General features: G+C 47.5%; 1 protein-coding gene across 5 annotated transcripts in view, besides 2 other annotated features; it reads left to right on the forward strand.

The window, feature by feature from the left end:
* The window catches only part of BPI (bactericidal permeability increasing protein), a 33,350-nt gene extending 25,065 nt beyond the window's left edge, over window positions 1–8,285 (forward strand). For 2 of the 5 annotated variants that reach the window (NM_001725.3, XM_047440395.1), the window contains 4 exons: window positions 1,828–1,870; window positions 5,210–5,273; window positions 6,378–6,454; window positions 7,926–8,285. In NM_001725.3, coding sequence (NP_001716.3) covers window positions 1,828–1,870; window positions 5,210–5,273; window positions 6,378–6,454; window positions 7,926–7,964 — 223 coding nt within the window. In that variant the 3' untranslated portion in view covers window positions 7,965–8,285. Of the gene's footprint in view, window positions 1–1,827; window positions 1,871–5,209; window positions 5,274–6,377; window positions 6,455–7,925 lie in introns of those variants that run through there. The other 3 variants (XM_047440393.1, XM_024451972.2, XM_047440394.1) reach the window with 2 other exon arrangements.
* Window positions 5,115–6,314: an enhancer, noted in NCBI's record as "BRD4-independent group 4 enhancer chr20:36962737-36963936 (GRCh37/hg19 assembly coordinates)". NCBI's record gives its function as "activates an origin of replication core promoter dependent on BRD2, P300/CBP, MED14 and CDK7 cofactors, and independent of BRD4, by STARR-seq in HCT116 cells {active_cell/tissue: HCT116}" and the evidence as "EXISTENCE:reporter gene assay evidence [ECO:0000049][PMID:35650434]".
* Window positions 12,981–13,757: an enhancer, noted in NCBI's record as "OCT4-NANOG-H3K27ac-H3K4me1 hESC enhancer chr20:36970603-36971380 (GRCh37/hg19 assembly coordinates)". NCBI's record gives its function as "activates a minimal SCP1, AML or CMV promoter by ChIP-STARR-seq in primed H9 embryonic stem cells {active_cell/tissue: H9 hESC(primed)}" and the evidence as "EXISTENCE:reporter gene assay evidence [ECO:0000049][PMID:30033119]".

Below are 14,499 nucleotides of genomic sequence, written 5' to 3' on the forward strand. Positions count from 1 at the left end.
GGGGCAGAGAGAAAGAGACACCATATGCAAGCAGATGTGATGGCCCCCCGCAGTTAGACCTGGCACCCGCCTCTTCAGCACATTTGCGCTGTTTTCACGCCGCCTTGACCCACATCCCTGCCCAGTCCCGCCCTCTCCCTGGCACCAAGTCGTCCTTCTTCACCTTGAGACGAGCCCCAGAGGTTTATGTGCTACTCATTTCTCCTGGCATCATGTTGACAAGCATTACTGCTTCAGAAACGTATAGATTTAATTTCTCTTAAACACCCATGGGCCTCTAAAGTAAAGGAGCTGGAGAGGATACAGCTGGGTGTGGGCTGAGCACAGGCTTTCTGGAATATGCAGGGGATGGGGATAGGGTATGAGAATCCACGGAGCAGAAATCCTGGGGCTACTGACTCTTGAGGAGCAAGGGCAAGTTTTTAAGCTTTGTACAGTGTTGGAGACAACCAAGGCTTTGCCTTCAAGGAGCCCTGTTCGAAACCCTGCTTTATTTTATTTATTTTTTTTTAGACAGAGTTTTGCTCTGTCACCCAGGCTGGTGTGCAGTGGCATGATCTCAGCTCACTGCAACCCCTGCCTCCCGGGTTCAAGCAATTCTCCTGCCTCAGCCTCCCGTGTAGCTGGGACTACAGGTGCGCACCACCACACCTGGCTAATTTTTGTATTTTTAGTAGAGACATGGTTTCCCATGTTGGCCAGGCTAGTCTTGAACTCCTGACTTCAAGTGATCTGCCTGCCTCAGCCTCCCAAAAGTGCTGGGATTACAGGCATGATTCACCGTGCCTGGCCAAAACTCTGCTTTATTATAGCCTGGGCAACATAGTGAGACCCTGTCTCTACAACAAAATTTTTAAAAATTAGCTGAGCTTGGTGGCATACCCCTGTAATCCCAGCTACCTGGGAGGCTGAGGTGGGAGGATCACCTGAGCCCAGGGAGGTTGAGGTTGCAGTGAGCTGTGATTTTGCTGTGTAGTGCAGCTGTGACTACACTCTAGCCTGAGCTAGTGAGACCCCATCTCAAAGAAGAAAAAAAAAAGCAAACCGTGCTTTGCTAATTGTTAGCTGTGTGACCTTGGACCATTGTTTGATCTCTGAGTATGTTTCCTCATCTGTAAAAATGAGAGTAATGGCCCTTGCCTCTTGTAATGTTACTGGTATTCAGTGGGATAGAGCGCCCAATACAGCTAATGAATGGTTGGGGTTCAATAAACAGCCATATGTTCCCCCCTTCCTCTGAGATCACTGTTAAAAATGTCATAAAGGCCTTAAAGGGAAAATAGTATATTGGCTCAGGTAACTGAAAAATCCAAGGCTTTCAGTCAAGGAAAGACCCAGGTGCTCAAATGATATCCTTAGGAATCTGTCTCCATCTCTTGGCTTTGCTATCCTCTGTGCTGGCTTCATTGCCCAGCAGGCTGTCACCAAGTGGTGGCAAAATAGTCACCAGGAGCTTCCTTATTTTCCCAGAGAAAAGAGAATACCTTATTCCCAATATTCCCAGCAGAAGTCCTGGGACTGACTTTCATTGGGCCAGCATAGGTCAGAGGTACATCCTTGCAGCAATGACTGTAGCAGAAGAAGTGGACTATGCCCTTTGGTCAGCATGGCCCAGAGCTCAGTGTGGGGTCAACGGCACTAACAATGCAGGGAATGTGTGAATTCTCCAAAGGCAACATCGGGGGGCTGTGACCCGTGGAAGGGGAGTGGATACTGGGTGGGAAAACCAGACAGTATCCACCAGAGTGGGTCTCTCCTCTCTAGAGACTGGGTTCTCATGCTAGTCAGGCAATTGGTGGTCTCAGTCCCCTCCTCCCCCTCTCACAGGCTGCTCCTGGAACTGAAGCACTCAAATATTGGCCCCTTCCCGGTGAGTCTGAGGCCCTTGGTGGCTTCTTCCTCCTTCTGACCTGGCGGCGGGGAGGGGGACATGTCATAGGCTCAAGGCATTATTTAAGAGGCTACTGGCTCATTTGCATTTAATTTGGTTGTGAATTAATAGTTCAAGGAGCTTCGTGGGCAGAGGGACCTGAGCCAGAATCCCTGCTCCATACTTACTAACTGTGAGGCCTTGGGCAAGTCACTTCCCTTTTCTGAACTCCAGACCTTCCCCACCTGAGTGAGTGTAGTATGGTTTAAATGGGATTAAACATGCACAATCTGGTAGAGAAAATCTGCTCAACAAATGTTTGTTGGATGAACAAATGAATTACTTTATTGAGCACCTATTATGTGCCAAGTACTCTTCCAAGTATGGGGTAGGCTGATGCATCAGACAGGGAAGTGATGCCTTCTCAGAGCCTTACATGGCAGTGGGAAGACAGCACAATAAGAAATGAAAGGCCAGGCATGGTGGCTCATGTCCATAATCCCAGCACTTTGGGAGGCTGAAGCAGGAGGACTGCTTGAGGTTAGGACTTCAAGACCAGCCTGGGCAACATAGCAAGACCTCATCTCTTATAAAAAATAAAAATTAGGTGGGTGTGGTGGCATGCACATGTAGTCCCAGATACCTGGGAGTCTGAGGCAGGAGGATGGCTTCAGCCCGGGAGTTCCAGGTTACACAAGCTAAGATCATGCTACACTGCACTCCAGCCTGTGTGACAGAGTGAAATCTTGTCTCAAAAAAAAAAAAAAAAAGAGAGAGAAGATCGTTTCAGTCACAATCAAAGCTATAAAAACCAAAGCGGGGATGGGCGGAAAGTGATGAGGGAGAATGAAGAGTCAGAAGATGTGATCAGGGAGGGCCTCTCCGAGGAGGTGACGTTTGGACTGAAGGAGGAGAAGGAGCCAGCAGAGGAAACAGCAGGGGCAAAAGCCCTGTGGTAGAGACAAGCTTGGTGCGTTTGGGGAATGAAGGGAGCCTGTGTGTCTGGAGCAGAGCAAGTAGGGGGCATCGGAAGAGATGTGGCCAGAGGGGCAAGCACAGGCTAGCTCATCCAGGGTCTTCCGGGCTGAGCTAGAGGAGGGGAGATTGTTGTGTTGCACAGGCAGTGAGAAGCCGGTGCGCTGTTTCCCTGCAGGGAGTGCTGTGAGTCTATTTATACCTTTGTAAAAGCTTCCCCTGGCTGGGGTGGGGGGATAGATTACAGACAAGGGGTCATTGAGGAGGCTGGTGTGTTTGTCCACGTGAGATGCTGGAGGTTGGGACTCAGCCAGGCAGAAGAGAAAGATGGTGGATTGGAGATATATTTTGGAAGTAGATTTAGAGAGACCTTAGTGAGAGATATGAGCCTCTTTTATAAAGTGCATTTAAATATTTAATGAATATTTTGCACACCTTCTTTTGCACCCAGCACCATACTAGGCACAGTGGGGTATAACATGTGGTCAATGTCTGGCAGATTTAGACACAGCACAGAAGCCTCCCTCATGGCTGTGTGGTGAGGGAAAGGATTGTCCAGGTGACTTCTAGGGTTTTGGGTGGAGCAGTTGGATGAATGGCAGAGCTACGTACTGACATGGAGAAAGGGCTGGTAGGAGAGGGAAGAGCAGGGAGAAACCCAGCTCAAGTAGGTGGTTCGCCTGCCCAGGAATCACTGCTCATCATTAAGTAGATTTGCCGCTACTGCCCTCACGAGGGGCATTGATGACGAGTTGCCCCTGTTAGTAGTAAGTAGTCGCCCATGCTGTTCAACACCAGCCACACAGAGCACCTGCCCTGTGTCTAACGTCAGAAGCTGCAGTCTGCTGATCCTGTCCAGCGTCTTGCTACATTGACCTGAATCTCCTGGTGGGCTCTGGTTGAATCCCAGTTTCTGCTGCTCTGGAGAACATTTCCTTAGATTCCCGAGATGCCCCCAAGTTCCCCACCAAGTGAGTGCCTTGTAAGCCCTCCAACCCCAAAGTCATACCGTCCCAGTGTCCCCTTCAAATCTGATAAAAATCCAGCCAGCCATTTCTACCAAATGAGATTCCAAATGAAAGGACCAAATGCAACCTCACTGTATTTTCATGGACTTACTGGTTCCAAGGCTTTCTTGGTGGCTTGACTAAGTCCATAACTAATTTCTACTTCTGTAGAAACTAGAAATTTTAAGTTCCCAGGATTCATAGGAAGGAGGGCACTGCATTTGGTGAGGCCAGGGAATAACAGGCCAGGAAAAGAGACTCAGTTGTTCCAGAAACAAAAATGTATATATTTACAAATTGTAAATGTCACAACTACAGGCAAGCATCTTGAGGGTTTTACACTATTTTTAATTTTTTTTATTATTGCCAAAGAAAAATATATGCACTATAGGGCAATCAGAACCTACAGATTTGCAAAAGAAAGAAAATAAAAACCATGCATATTTTCATCACTTAGTTAATAATTTGGAGTATATCCTTCCTGACCTTTTGCTATGCCTATTTAATTAAAAAATGGAATGATGTGATTTCTATAGCCTGGTTCTCCTCACTCAAAAACATATCATGGTTATGTCTGTGTTGTTACTTACATTTCTACAATATCATTCTTAACAGTTGCATAATATTTCCTTGTATTAAAGTATTACCATTTTCCACCAAGTGATTCCCCTATTGTTGGACATGGAGATTGCTTTTAATTTATTGTTTTGGATAAATTTGTTGCTTTGGTCAACATTCTTGCATCCACATTTTTTCCTACACCCTACATTATTTCCTTAGGATAAATTCCTCAGAGGCATGTTTGCTAGCCCAAAAGGCACACGGGTCTTGCTGTGTTGCCCAGGCTGGTCTTGAACTCCTCCTGGTCTCAAGTGATCTTCTCGCCTCAGCCTCCCAAAGCACTGCTGTTACAGTCATGAACCACCAAGCCCAACCAGGCACACACAGGCTTTGGAAGAACATTGTGCCAAATAGCCGTCAAAGAGGTTGATTTGATTTGCCCTCTTACTGCAGTGTCTGAGAGGACTCATTTTTTAAGCTAAGCTTTTCCCATTTAAATACTCTCTGATGAGCTTCCTCATGATTGTCGTGAGTTGTAAGGCCTTGCACCTTACAATTGAGAACATGCTTTACATCTGGAACCATTGGAGCAAAAGAAACCACTTCCATGACCTTGATTGGGCTGCCAAGTATTCACATATCACTTGCGTCCACCTCTCAGCAGTTTTCCCAACTGCGCGGTTGCTGAGCAGCGCTAGGGGAAAGGAGGGTGACAGAGGTGGGGTGATGAGGACTGCTGGACCCGCAAGGTTCTGGCGATGCAGGGCCATCCTCCCATCCTCCCTCTGATTTCCAGGTTGAATTGCTGCAGGATATCATGAACTACATTGTACCCATTCTTGTGCTGCCCAGGGTTAACGGTAAGGAACTTTGAAGAAACCATTCATTTTCAGTCATGGGGGAAGAGGGTGGGGTTGATTACCCACAGCCACCTGTTACCTGGCCCCAGGTATGAGGGCTGGGCAGTGGTGATGTCAAGTGAACTTCAAATGGCATCTGACCCAGAAATGAATGCAACAAAAAGGAACTCACATGAGTTGACTTACTACACATGGGTTGATTCATTATTGCGTGAGTTTGTCCTTACAAAACCCCCATGAGATGAAGGATTATTAACATCTCCAACTTTTATGGCAGGAAGCGGAAGAACAGAATGGTTTAGTGACTTAGGTCACAGAGCAGGCAAGAGATGGGGCATGGGTTTGATCCTAGCAGTGAAAACAAAGCCCATGGTCTCTTTCCAACTTTGGAAGCAGGATGAGGGGGTTCCCTGATAACCCCTCCCAGAGCTTAGATCACCACGCTGGTAAGAGCTTCAGGCAGGCCGGCCCCTGACCTTTGAGAGTGAGGGGCAAAAGTACTAATAGAGGCCCATATAACCTGTGACTAGGATATTTAGAACTTACCAATTAATCCAACAAATTATCATATGAAATATGATACATCAGTCCTGGGATCTGTCCTCCTACCTTGACAAATGTAGCTTTGTAATGACCTGGGAGGCCACGTTCTAATTTAGAGTTCTCCAAAGTTCCGTGTCAGAATGTGGCAGTATGTGGGGGGCTTGCCCTGGCCACTGTCCACCTCTGGCTTTATCCTAAATGTTGAGGGGTTTCATGCTCACATGCATAAATACCCCTATTACACACCACGCTCTAGTCACACCATTGCAAGCAGCAGATTTTTGGTTTAGTGTATACCAGCAGTGCTGCACCCTCAGGAGGGCCATCATGGGGATGGAGTCCACGCAGGTGCTAGAAGTGGACTTGGGGTTGATGGACAACAGGTGGGAGGTACGGACTCTGGGGCAGCCTTCCTTTCAGGCATGTATGCCCATGCCAGTCCCTACCTAGGGCCAGGCATGCTGGTTCAGGGAGGCTGTCTACCCAGGCTCTCTGGCCCTCCCTCCTCCCCTGCCCTTCTCTTTCTTTTCTCCTGGTCCTCACCATCGGTCTCTGTCACAGAGAAACTACAGAAAGGCTTCCCTCTCCCGACGCCGGCCAGAGTCCAGCTCTACAACGTAGTGCTTCAGCCTCACCAGGTGAGTCCCGGAGTCTTTTCCACAAATCTCCCCTAACGATAGTGACCAACAGCAGCCTATGGCTGCAATGCTTCCTGCATGCCAAGCCCTGTGTGAAGCGCCTTCTACCCTTACAACAACTCTGGGATGTGGGTGCTGTTAAAAAACAAAGAAAGACCAAGGTTCAGAAAAGCCACACAGTGTTAAATGAAGTCCAGATTCAAAGCCAGGCTCCCGGCTTTGAACCATCACTGCATCGTTCCCACGCTACACTCGGCAAAAATGAAATGCATTTGTGGGCCAAAGAGCCTCTTTTTTAAGGTGCATTTAAATATTTAACGAATATATGTTGCACACCTTTTGCACCCAGCATCATACTAGGCACTGTGGGGTATAACATGTGGTCGACGTCTGGCAGATTTAGACACAGCACAGAAGTCTCCTTCGTGGCTTTCGCCCAGGCTGACTTCCGTCTGCATTTGACACTGATGCGCTTCCTGGGCATGCTTTCTTCTCTTAGTTTCCAGCACTCCCCTAGCTCTTGGTTGTCTACCTGCCACCTCCTCTGCTTGTTCTCCTGCCCCTTCTCTGCAAGCTGGAGATCTCCAGGACCCCTCCCCAGGCCTCTTCTCTTCCCCCGCCATTGGCAAGCCTTCGTCACTCTTGTCAACCTCTTCAGGCTTAGCTGCCACCTGCGTGCCACCCAATGTCCCAGACATGCTTCCAGTCTTTTTATTTTTTCCAAACTCTCAGCTTGTGCATTCGCAGGCTCCCTCAATGTCTCCACCCTGAGGCCTCTTAAACCCAGCATGTCCCCACAAAGCTGTCACCTCCGCAGCGAAACCGTCACCCAGCTTGCATTTCTCACCTTGGTCAAAGGCTTTCCTGATAACTTGTGGCCCTCCTGGGGAGCCTCGCATCACCCAGATCCCTCCCTCTCCCTTTCCCCCAATGTCCAGGCCATCAATCCTCAATTCTTTAGACCAGGGAGCTAATTAATGGGGCTGAGAGACTGTAGAAAAATAACCAAGAGTGCAGAGGAAACACATACCGCATATTCCTCACATTTTACCAAGTTCGTGTTTTAAAAAAAATGACCCATGGCACAATTTAATTTCTTCATTTCTAAAAATCCTGAGTGAAGGACACAAAGAAGCAGAGAGAAGTGGTTTTGCAGCCTTGATTGGAACAAGCACTCCCTTGAGCTGCCATGAGGCAGGGACGACAAATGAAGGCCTCTAAAACAGCCCGGGGGGTCTCCGTGTCTAAGAAGGAGGCAGCTTCCAGGGAAGCTGCTGACAGATTCGCAGATGTTGGCAGCTGTGGATGTGTAGATCCGGGCAGCGAAACACTGAGTGACCCCCACTGGCCCTGCCTTTCTCCTTCCTAAGAGGCAGGCTCCCAAAATGTCCTTCTTAAAACTCCAGTAGCTCCACACTCACAAACAAGGGGTGCATCTTCAACTGGTGACAACATTCTCATCTCTCCCTAGAACTTCCTGCTGTTCGGTGCAGACGTTGTCTATAAATGAAGGCACCAGGGGTGCCGGGGGCTGTCAGCCACACCTGTTCCTGATGGGCTGTGGGGCACCGGCTGCCTTTCCCCAGGGAATCCTCTCCAGATCTTAACCAAGAGCCCCTTGCAAACTTCTTCGACTCAGATTCAGAAATGATCTAAACACGAGGAAACATTATTCATTGGAAAAGTGCATGGTGTGTATTTTAGGGATTATGAGCTTCTTTCAAGGGCTAAGGCTGCAGAGATATTTCCTCCAGGAATCGTGTTTCAATTGTAACCAAGAAATTTCCATTTGTGCTTCATGAAAAAAAACTTCTGGTTTTTTTCATGTGGATTCTGTGTGCTGGTATTGTTTCTTGTTTTATGTTCATTTATTTATTATTCATTGGCTGTAACCAATGTGGCCGGCAGTGCCAGTTTACAGCACAGATACAATCATCTCTTTTTATTTCTATAATTAATCTCTGGAATCCCCACAGCCTCCATTAACAGAAAGTCTCATTGTTCCAAATGTCCTTGTGATTTTCTTAGTCCAAATTCCTAATGTCACACAGAGAGGGTCTGGAGAGTGGGTCAGTCCACTATGCTGTTGTTCTTTCCACTACCACATGGTGTGGCTGTTGACCCGTCATTCTGCACAGCCCATTGTCCTGTGTAGTCACCTGTCCACTAGGACTGTTGCTCCCGTCACTACCACACGGTGTCGCTGTTGAAAAGCTAGCCTGCACAGCCCACCTTCCCTGCCCCACACTTGGGCTCCCCGTTTCATCCATGTTCTCCTGCCCAGCCATTGTCCCCAAAAGCAGAACAATGGGCCAGGTGACAGAGTCCATTGGGGTTTTCTGCTTCAGTCACATCTTTGGGTGCAATTAGCACTTCCCCATGACTCTCCCAGCTCTAGTGTGGAAGCCAGATCACCAACCCAGACTGTCTTTGGAATTCTGGGGAGTTTCCTTGGGGGCTTTGGGCCATTTCCTGCCATGGGACATCAGAGGGGGCTATCTCAGCCCATGAGATGGGGTTTTATGGATTGTACTTCAGATTGATTGAGGAGTCCTGGAAGGCCTTTCTACACTGCTGACATGTGCTCTGAGACCATAAGGATGAGCAACAACACACTGGAGGAGTTCGATGCAGACGGTGGAGTGGGGGACCACATGACCAGATTTAGTTTTTAAAATGTTTTATTGTGACTTCTGAAAGCATCAGAAGGACAAGAGGGCAAGGGATGAGCACAAATTAGGAATGTGTTGTTATTCAAGCTTCAACCAGATTGGTGATGGTAAAATTGAAGAGAAGCATTTGTAGCGAGCAAAAGCAGATAAAAGGTATTTATTTTATTTATAAAGAAAAATGTACACACTTCTGCTGACATCATTGATTCTCTGTCAAATGGAGTTAAAGGCTCTAGGGCCACACAAGAAGGGAGGGCCATTGATCAAACACTCTCAGGAGTCAAGCAAAGGGCATGAATGATCTAATTTAATCCTGATAGCATTCTTCATCCCCCAAGATGGCAATTGCTCAAACTTTTTTGGTTGTTTGTTTTTGAGACAGAGTCTTGCTCTGTCACCCAGGCTGGAGTGCAGTGGCACGATCTCAGCTCACTGCAACCTCTGACTCCCAAGTTCAAGCGATTCTCCTGCCTCAGCCTCCTGAGTAGCTGGGACTACAGGCATGTGCCATCATGCCTGGCTAATTTTTGTATTTTTAGTAGAGATGAGGTTTCATCATGTTGGCCGGGCAGGTCTCAAACTCCTGACCTCAGGTCATCTACCTGCCTGGGTCTCCCAAAGCGCTGGGATTACAGGGGTGAGCCACCGAGCCCAGCTGTTCAAACATTTTAAATTGAGTTACCCTTCCCTGATCACATAGCCAGCAGGTGGCAGAGTTGGAATTCCCACCTTATCTATTCCCACATGTCAGAGCCCATGCTTTTTTTGCTCCTCCCCGATGTCAAAATGTTGTCTGTTCTGGGGGACTTGGCACGTTTAAAGCAGAACTTCTTTGTTCTGTGGCATAGGTTGTACACTGTAAAACATAGGTTGTACCAGGTTGAGGAAACAAAAGTCTTTCTCTAATTTGTCCACCAGTAGTATGCATCTTTTTCTCCACTAGCCAGGGGCTATGGAGGCCCTGAATAGAACAGAAGAGCAGCTAGCAAGGGCGGAAGGAAGAGAGAGAAGGGAAGCACAGCGTGGGATAGACTGGGAGGCCATGAGGACTGTTAAGGGCTCTAGGTTTTGTTCCAAAAGATAAGGCAAGCCACTGGAGAGTTTTGAGCAGAAGAATGTTACAATCCAATTCACATTTGTAAAAGAGCCCTCTGGCTGCTGGGGAGACTAGCTGGTAGATATGGACACACACCTGCCATCCCCCACCCTCATTCTCTTTGGAGTTAACCCCCTTCTACACCTGCCCTCTACTTTCTGTAACATATAGGCACCCCCTGCTCCACACTCTATAGAAAAAAAAAAAAAAATGCAATTATTAGGTTGGTGCAAAAGTAATTGCGGTTTTTGCCATTACTTTTAATGCAAAAACCGCAATTACTTTTTTTTTTTGGAGACAGAGTCTCGCTCTGTCACCCAGGCTGGAATGCAGTGGTGTGATCTTGGCTCACTGCAACCTCTGCCTCCCGGATTCAAACCGTTCTCCTGCCTCAGCCTCCCAAGTATCTGGGATTACAGTCTCACACCAGTACGCGCGGCTAATATTTTGTGTACATATATTTTTAAATATAGACAGGGTTTCTCCATGTTGGCCAGAGTGGTCTCCAACTCCTGACCTCAAGTGATCCACCCACCTTGGCCTTCCAAAGTGCTGGGATTACAAGTGTGAGCCACTGAATCCAGTCTTGGCCGTTACTTTTAATGCCAAAAAAAATAATTACTTTTCCATCAACCTAAATCTTTCTTGGACCTGAAGATTGGTGCATGAAACACATTGTGCCTGCGAACTTCTCTCTAATGGCTGAGGAAAGGCAGTTGCTTGGGGGTTAGGGTTTGAGCAGCATTCCCCAACACACTCCAAAGGTTCTGCCAAGTTGGCTACAGAACCACTATTTGAGCAGCTTCTCCCTTCAGGCTAAGCATTGTCTGCTGCAGATGACTGCAAATGTGTGTTTGGGGTTTCTTTGGGTGACGTTGAAAATGTTCTAAAATTAAATTCTGGATTGTACACTTTAAATGGGTGAATTTTATGTATATGAAATATATGTCAATAAAGTGGCAAAAGACAATTGAAGAAGAAAAAAAAGAATTGTTCACTCCAAACTGCCTAAAAGCTCACCATCAGAGCAGCTTCCCTTCTGGGATAAGCACAGCCTTCCTGGGGTTCCTTTTGGAAATGCTGACTTATTAAATAAATATGAGGGAGGAGTACCCTCTGCAAGGAGAGAAGGTGGGGAGGGGCACAGGAAGACTAAGCACTGTCTTCATCATTTTGCCATGTCCCGCTAGTGGCCATGAGCAGCCCTGTCCCTGGGTCTATCTCTTCAGGCTTATGATCCTATTTAATCCTCATGACAACCGCTAAAGGTAGCCAAGGTTGCCCTTGTTTTTCAGATGAGGAGTCTCTAGAAAAGTCGTGTGGCCTGCTAAGCTAACTGTTCAGAGCCTGGGCTCTGGAGTCACCTGGCGGTGGTTTCAAACATAAATCCGGCCCCCTCAAGAGCTGTGTGACTTTGCAAATGTTCCTTAACCTCTCTGGCCCTCTATTTCCTCCTTTGAAAAGGAGAGTTAAAATCTTGCCCTCTCGGCATGAGGTTATTGGGAAGAATCAGAGGTATGATTGATAGGGTCATGGCACAGTGGTTAAGAGTATGAACCATGATCCCAGATATCTTGGGTTTAAATCCCACGTCTGCTATTTACCAGCTGTGTGACTTTGGGCAGTATACTTAATTCTCAGGTTTTCTATTTCTCATCTATAAAGGGAACATCATTATAGTACCTACCTCATAAAGTTGTTATGAGAATCAAATACATGTCAAATCCGTGGTACAGGGGTTGACAACAGTAATCCAAGTTTGCTCTAATTTGAATAAACGCAGTTCTTCTTACTATACTGTAAAGACTATATCTGACCAGGTGCAGTGGCTCACGACCTGTAATCCCAGCACTTTGGAAGTCTGAGGCAGGTGGATCACTTGAGCCCAGGAGTTCGAGACCAGCCTGGGCAACATGGCGAAACCCAGTCTCCACTAAAAACACAAAAATTAGCCGGGCGTGGTGGCACACACCTGTAGTCCCAGCTACTCAGGAGGCTGACGCACGAGTATCATTTGAACCCAGAAGGCGGAGGTTGCAGTGTGCTGAGATCACACCACTGCACTCCATCCAGCCTGGGTGATGGAGTGAGACTCTGTCTCAAAAAAAAAAAAACAAAAAAAATACTATATCTGGCTACAGTAGTATTCCCAATGCCTGCCACATAGTTGGTGATCAGTAAGTATTTATTTTAAAAATGATCTGGGATTTCAACCCACATCTGCATAACTCAAAACATTTATGCCAGTGATTCTCAATGTATGATCCAGGGCTGTCTGCCTGAATGGGCCTGACCCCAAGAATCAGAGCCCCTGGCTGGCCAGAACTCTGGATTTATCCTCTCCAGTTCAGCAATAGGCTCACAGTGTAACCTGGGCCAGTTCTCCCTCTCTAGGTCTCAGTTTCCCCATCTGTAAAAGTAAGGGCTCTCTGGGGTGAGGAGCTGTTTATCCACATGACCAGCCCTGCTCCATGGGGGCTCCTGGTATCTCAAGACACGCAACCTTCAAGCCACAAAGGATCGTCACTGACGTTACTACTTTTATTTTGTAAGCCCGCATGTCTCAGGGCTCATGTGTGTGTGTCTGTGCGTGTGCGTACACAGGCACACATTCAGATCTGCAGGTGATGTGGCTTGGGGAGAGGCTGCCATAAATATTAAACTCCCAACTCCAAAGTACCCTGCAGAGATTCAGAACTGCAGGAATTCATAACATCATTCTCTTTCAAGAGTCAGTGTTCTCAGGAGTGTGGGCACCGTCATAGAAAACTATCGAAAAGGAGAGTGAAGCATTAGAGAACTGCTGAGCTTGGAGGGAACTCGGAGCTCATTTAGTCCCTTGTTCCCGAAGCTCCAAGCACAATCCGTGGTCAGCAGCATCACCCTCACCAGGGAGCTTGTTAAAATGCAGAGGCTCAGCCCCAAGAGGAACATGATGGATCAAGATTTGCATCTAAACAAGATCCCTGGGGGACTTGACTGCACGTCTTTGTTTCTGAAAAGCTGTCCTAGTCCCCAGCCCTCATCTGCATTTGGGGGAAACATGAGGAACAGAGAGGGGTGGAGTTTGTTCCAGGTCCCCCAGCCCATTAGGAGCAGGGCCTTGACAAAAAACCTGTAAGACTTTGGAAAAGGATTCAAAGCTCTCTGCGAGAGGCAGGCGTTTGCACAAAAGATGAATAAGTGCAGAAGAAATGCTCAGTGTTGCTAATTGTGTCCAACAGGGTTCAGGCAAGAAAAGAGAATCCAACTGCATTGGTTCTTGGGATTTGAATAAAGTGGCTATTTCTAGAGTTGGGGGACAAGCTTGAGGAAACCAACCAGGGACTGTTTTTCCTAAGGCTCAAGCAGCAAAGAAAAGCATCTGGGTATCCCAGCCCAAGGAGATAATAGGAGCCAAGGACAAGGCCTTATCAGGAGGGACACAGCCAACTGCCACACTTGTGATCTAGAGAAGACAGCAGGGAAAAGTGCCCTGACATCTGACCTCCTGCCATGCCACCCTCTGGCTGAACCCAAGTAGAGATGAGGAAACTGAGTCACAAAGTGCCCAAAGTCACCCCGTGGGGGAGTCAGGATTCAAATCCAGGCCATCTGGCCCCAGAGTCCATAAAGATAAACATAAGGTTTGTTTATTCCTTTGGCAATTATCTACTATTTGCTGCTCAGTATTCTAGACACTATGGATTCCAAATTCTGGGTTTTTCAAAATCTTTTCAGTAACACTTTTGTAGTGAGAATATTATCGGTGGCGAGTCCGCAACACTCCCAGCCCTTGTCTTCTCAGAGGAAAGAATTCAATTGAGAGACGCAGGCAAGTTTTAAAGCAGAGGCAAAGGTTTATTGAAAGAAGCAAAGTACAACTGAGAGATCAAGTGCCCCGCTCAACCTTTGGCTCGGGGCTTTTATACACTGGCTTGGTTCTGGGGTTTCTTCTCCTCCTTGATTCCTCCCTTCGGTGGGCTGCTGCGCCCTCCCTGCATGCGCAATGGCCTGCCAGCACTTGGGAGGGGCCGCATGCGCAGTGTGTTTACTAAGGTTGTGCGCATGCTCACTTGGGGTGATTTTCCCTTACTGGTCCGTCGCCGCAAGAAAAAGGTCATATACAAGTCAGACTCCAACATTTGCCCTTCTGCTCGACCTTACCAGGGAATTGTGGTTTGCTGGCTCCAGATGATGTCAACTATCTGTTAGGGAACTCCTCTCCCTCTTGGCGCCATTCGTGGCCACTTATCATGTCAGAGGGACAGTTTTATGATCGCCTGTCCATCATTTGA

The sequence above is a fragment of the Homo sapiens genome, chromosome 20 (genome assembly GCF_000001405.40).
Source record: "Homo sapiens chromosome 20, GRCh38.p14 Primary Assembly".
In the NCBI taxonomy this organism is placed as follows: Eukaryota; Metazoa; Chordata; class Mammalia; order Primates; family Hominidae; genus Homo; species Homo sapiens.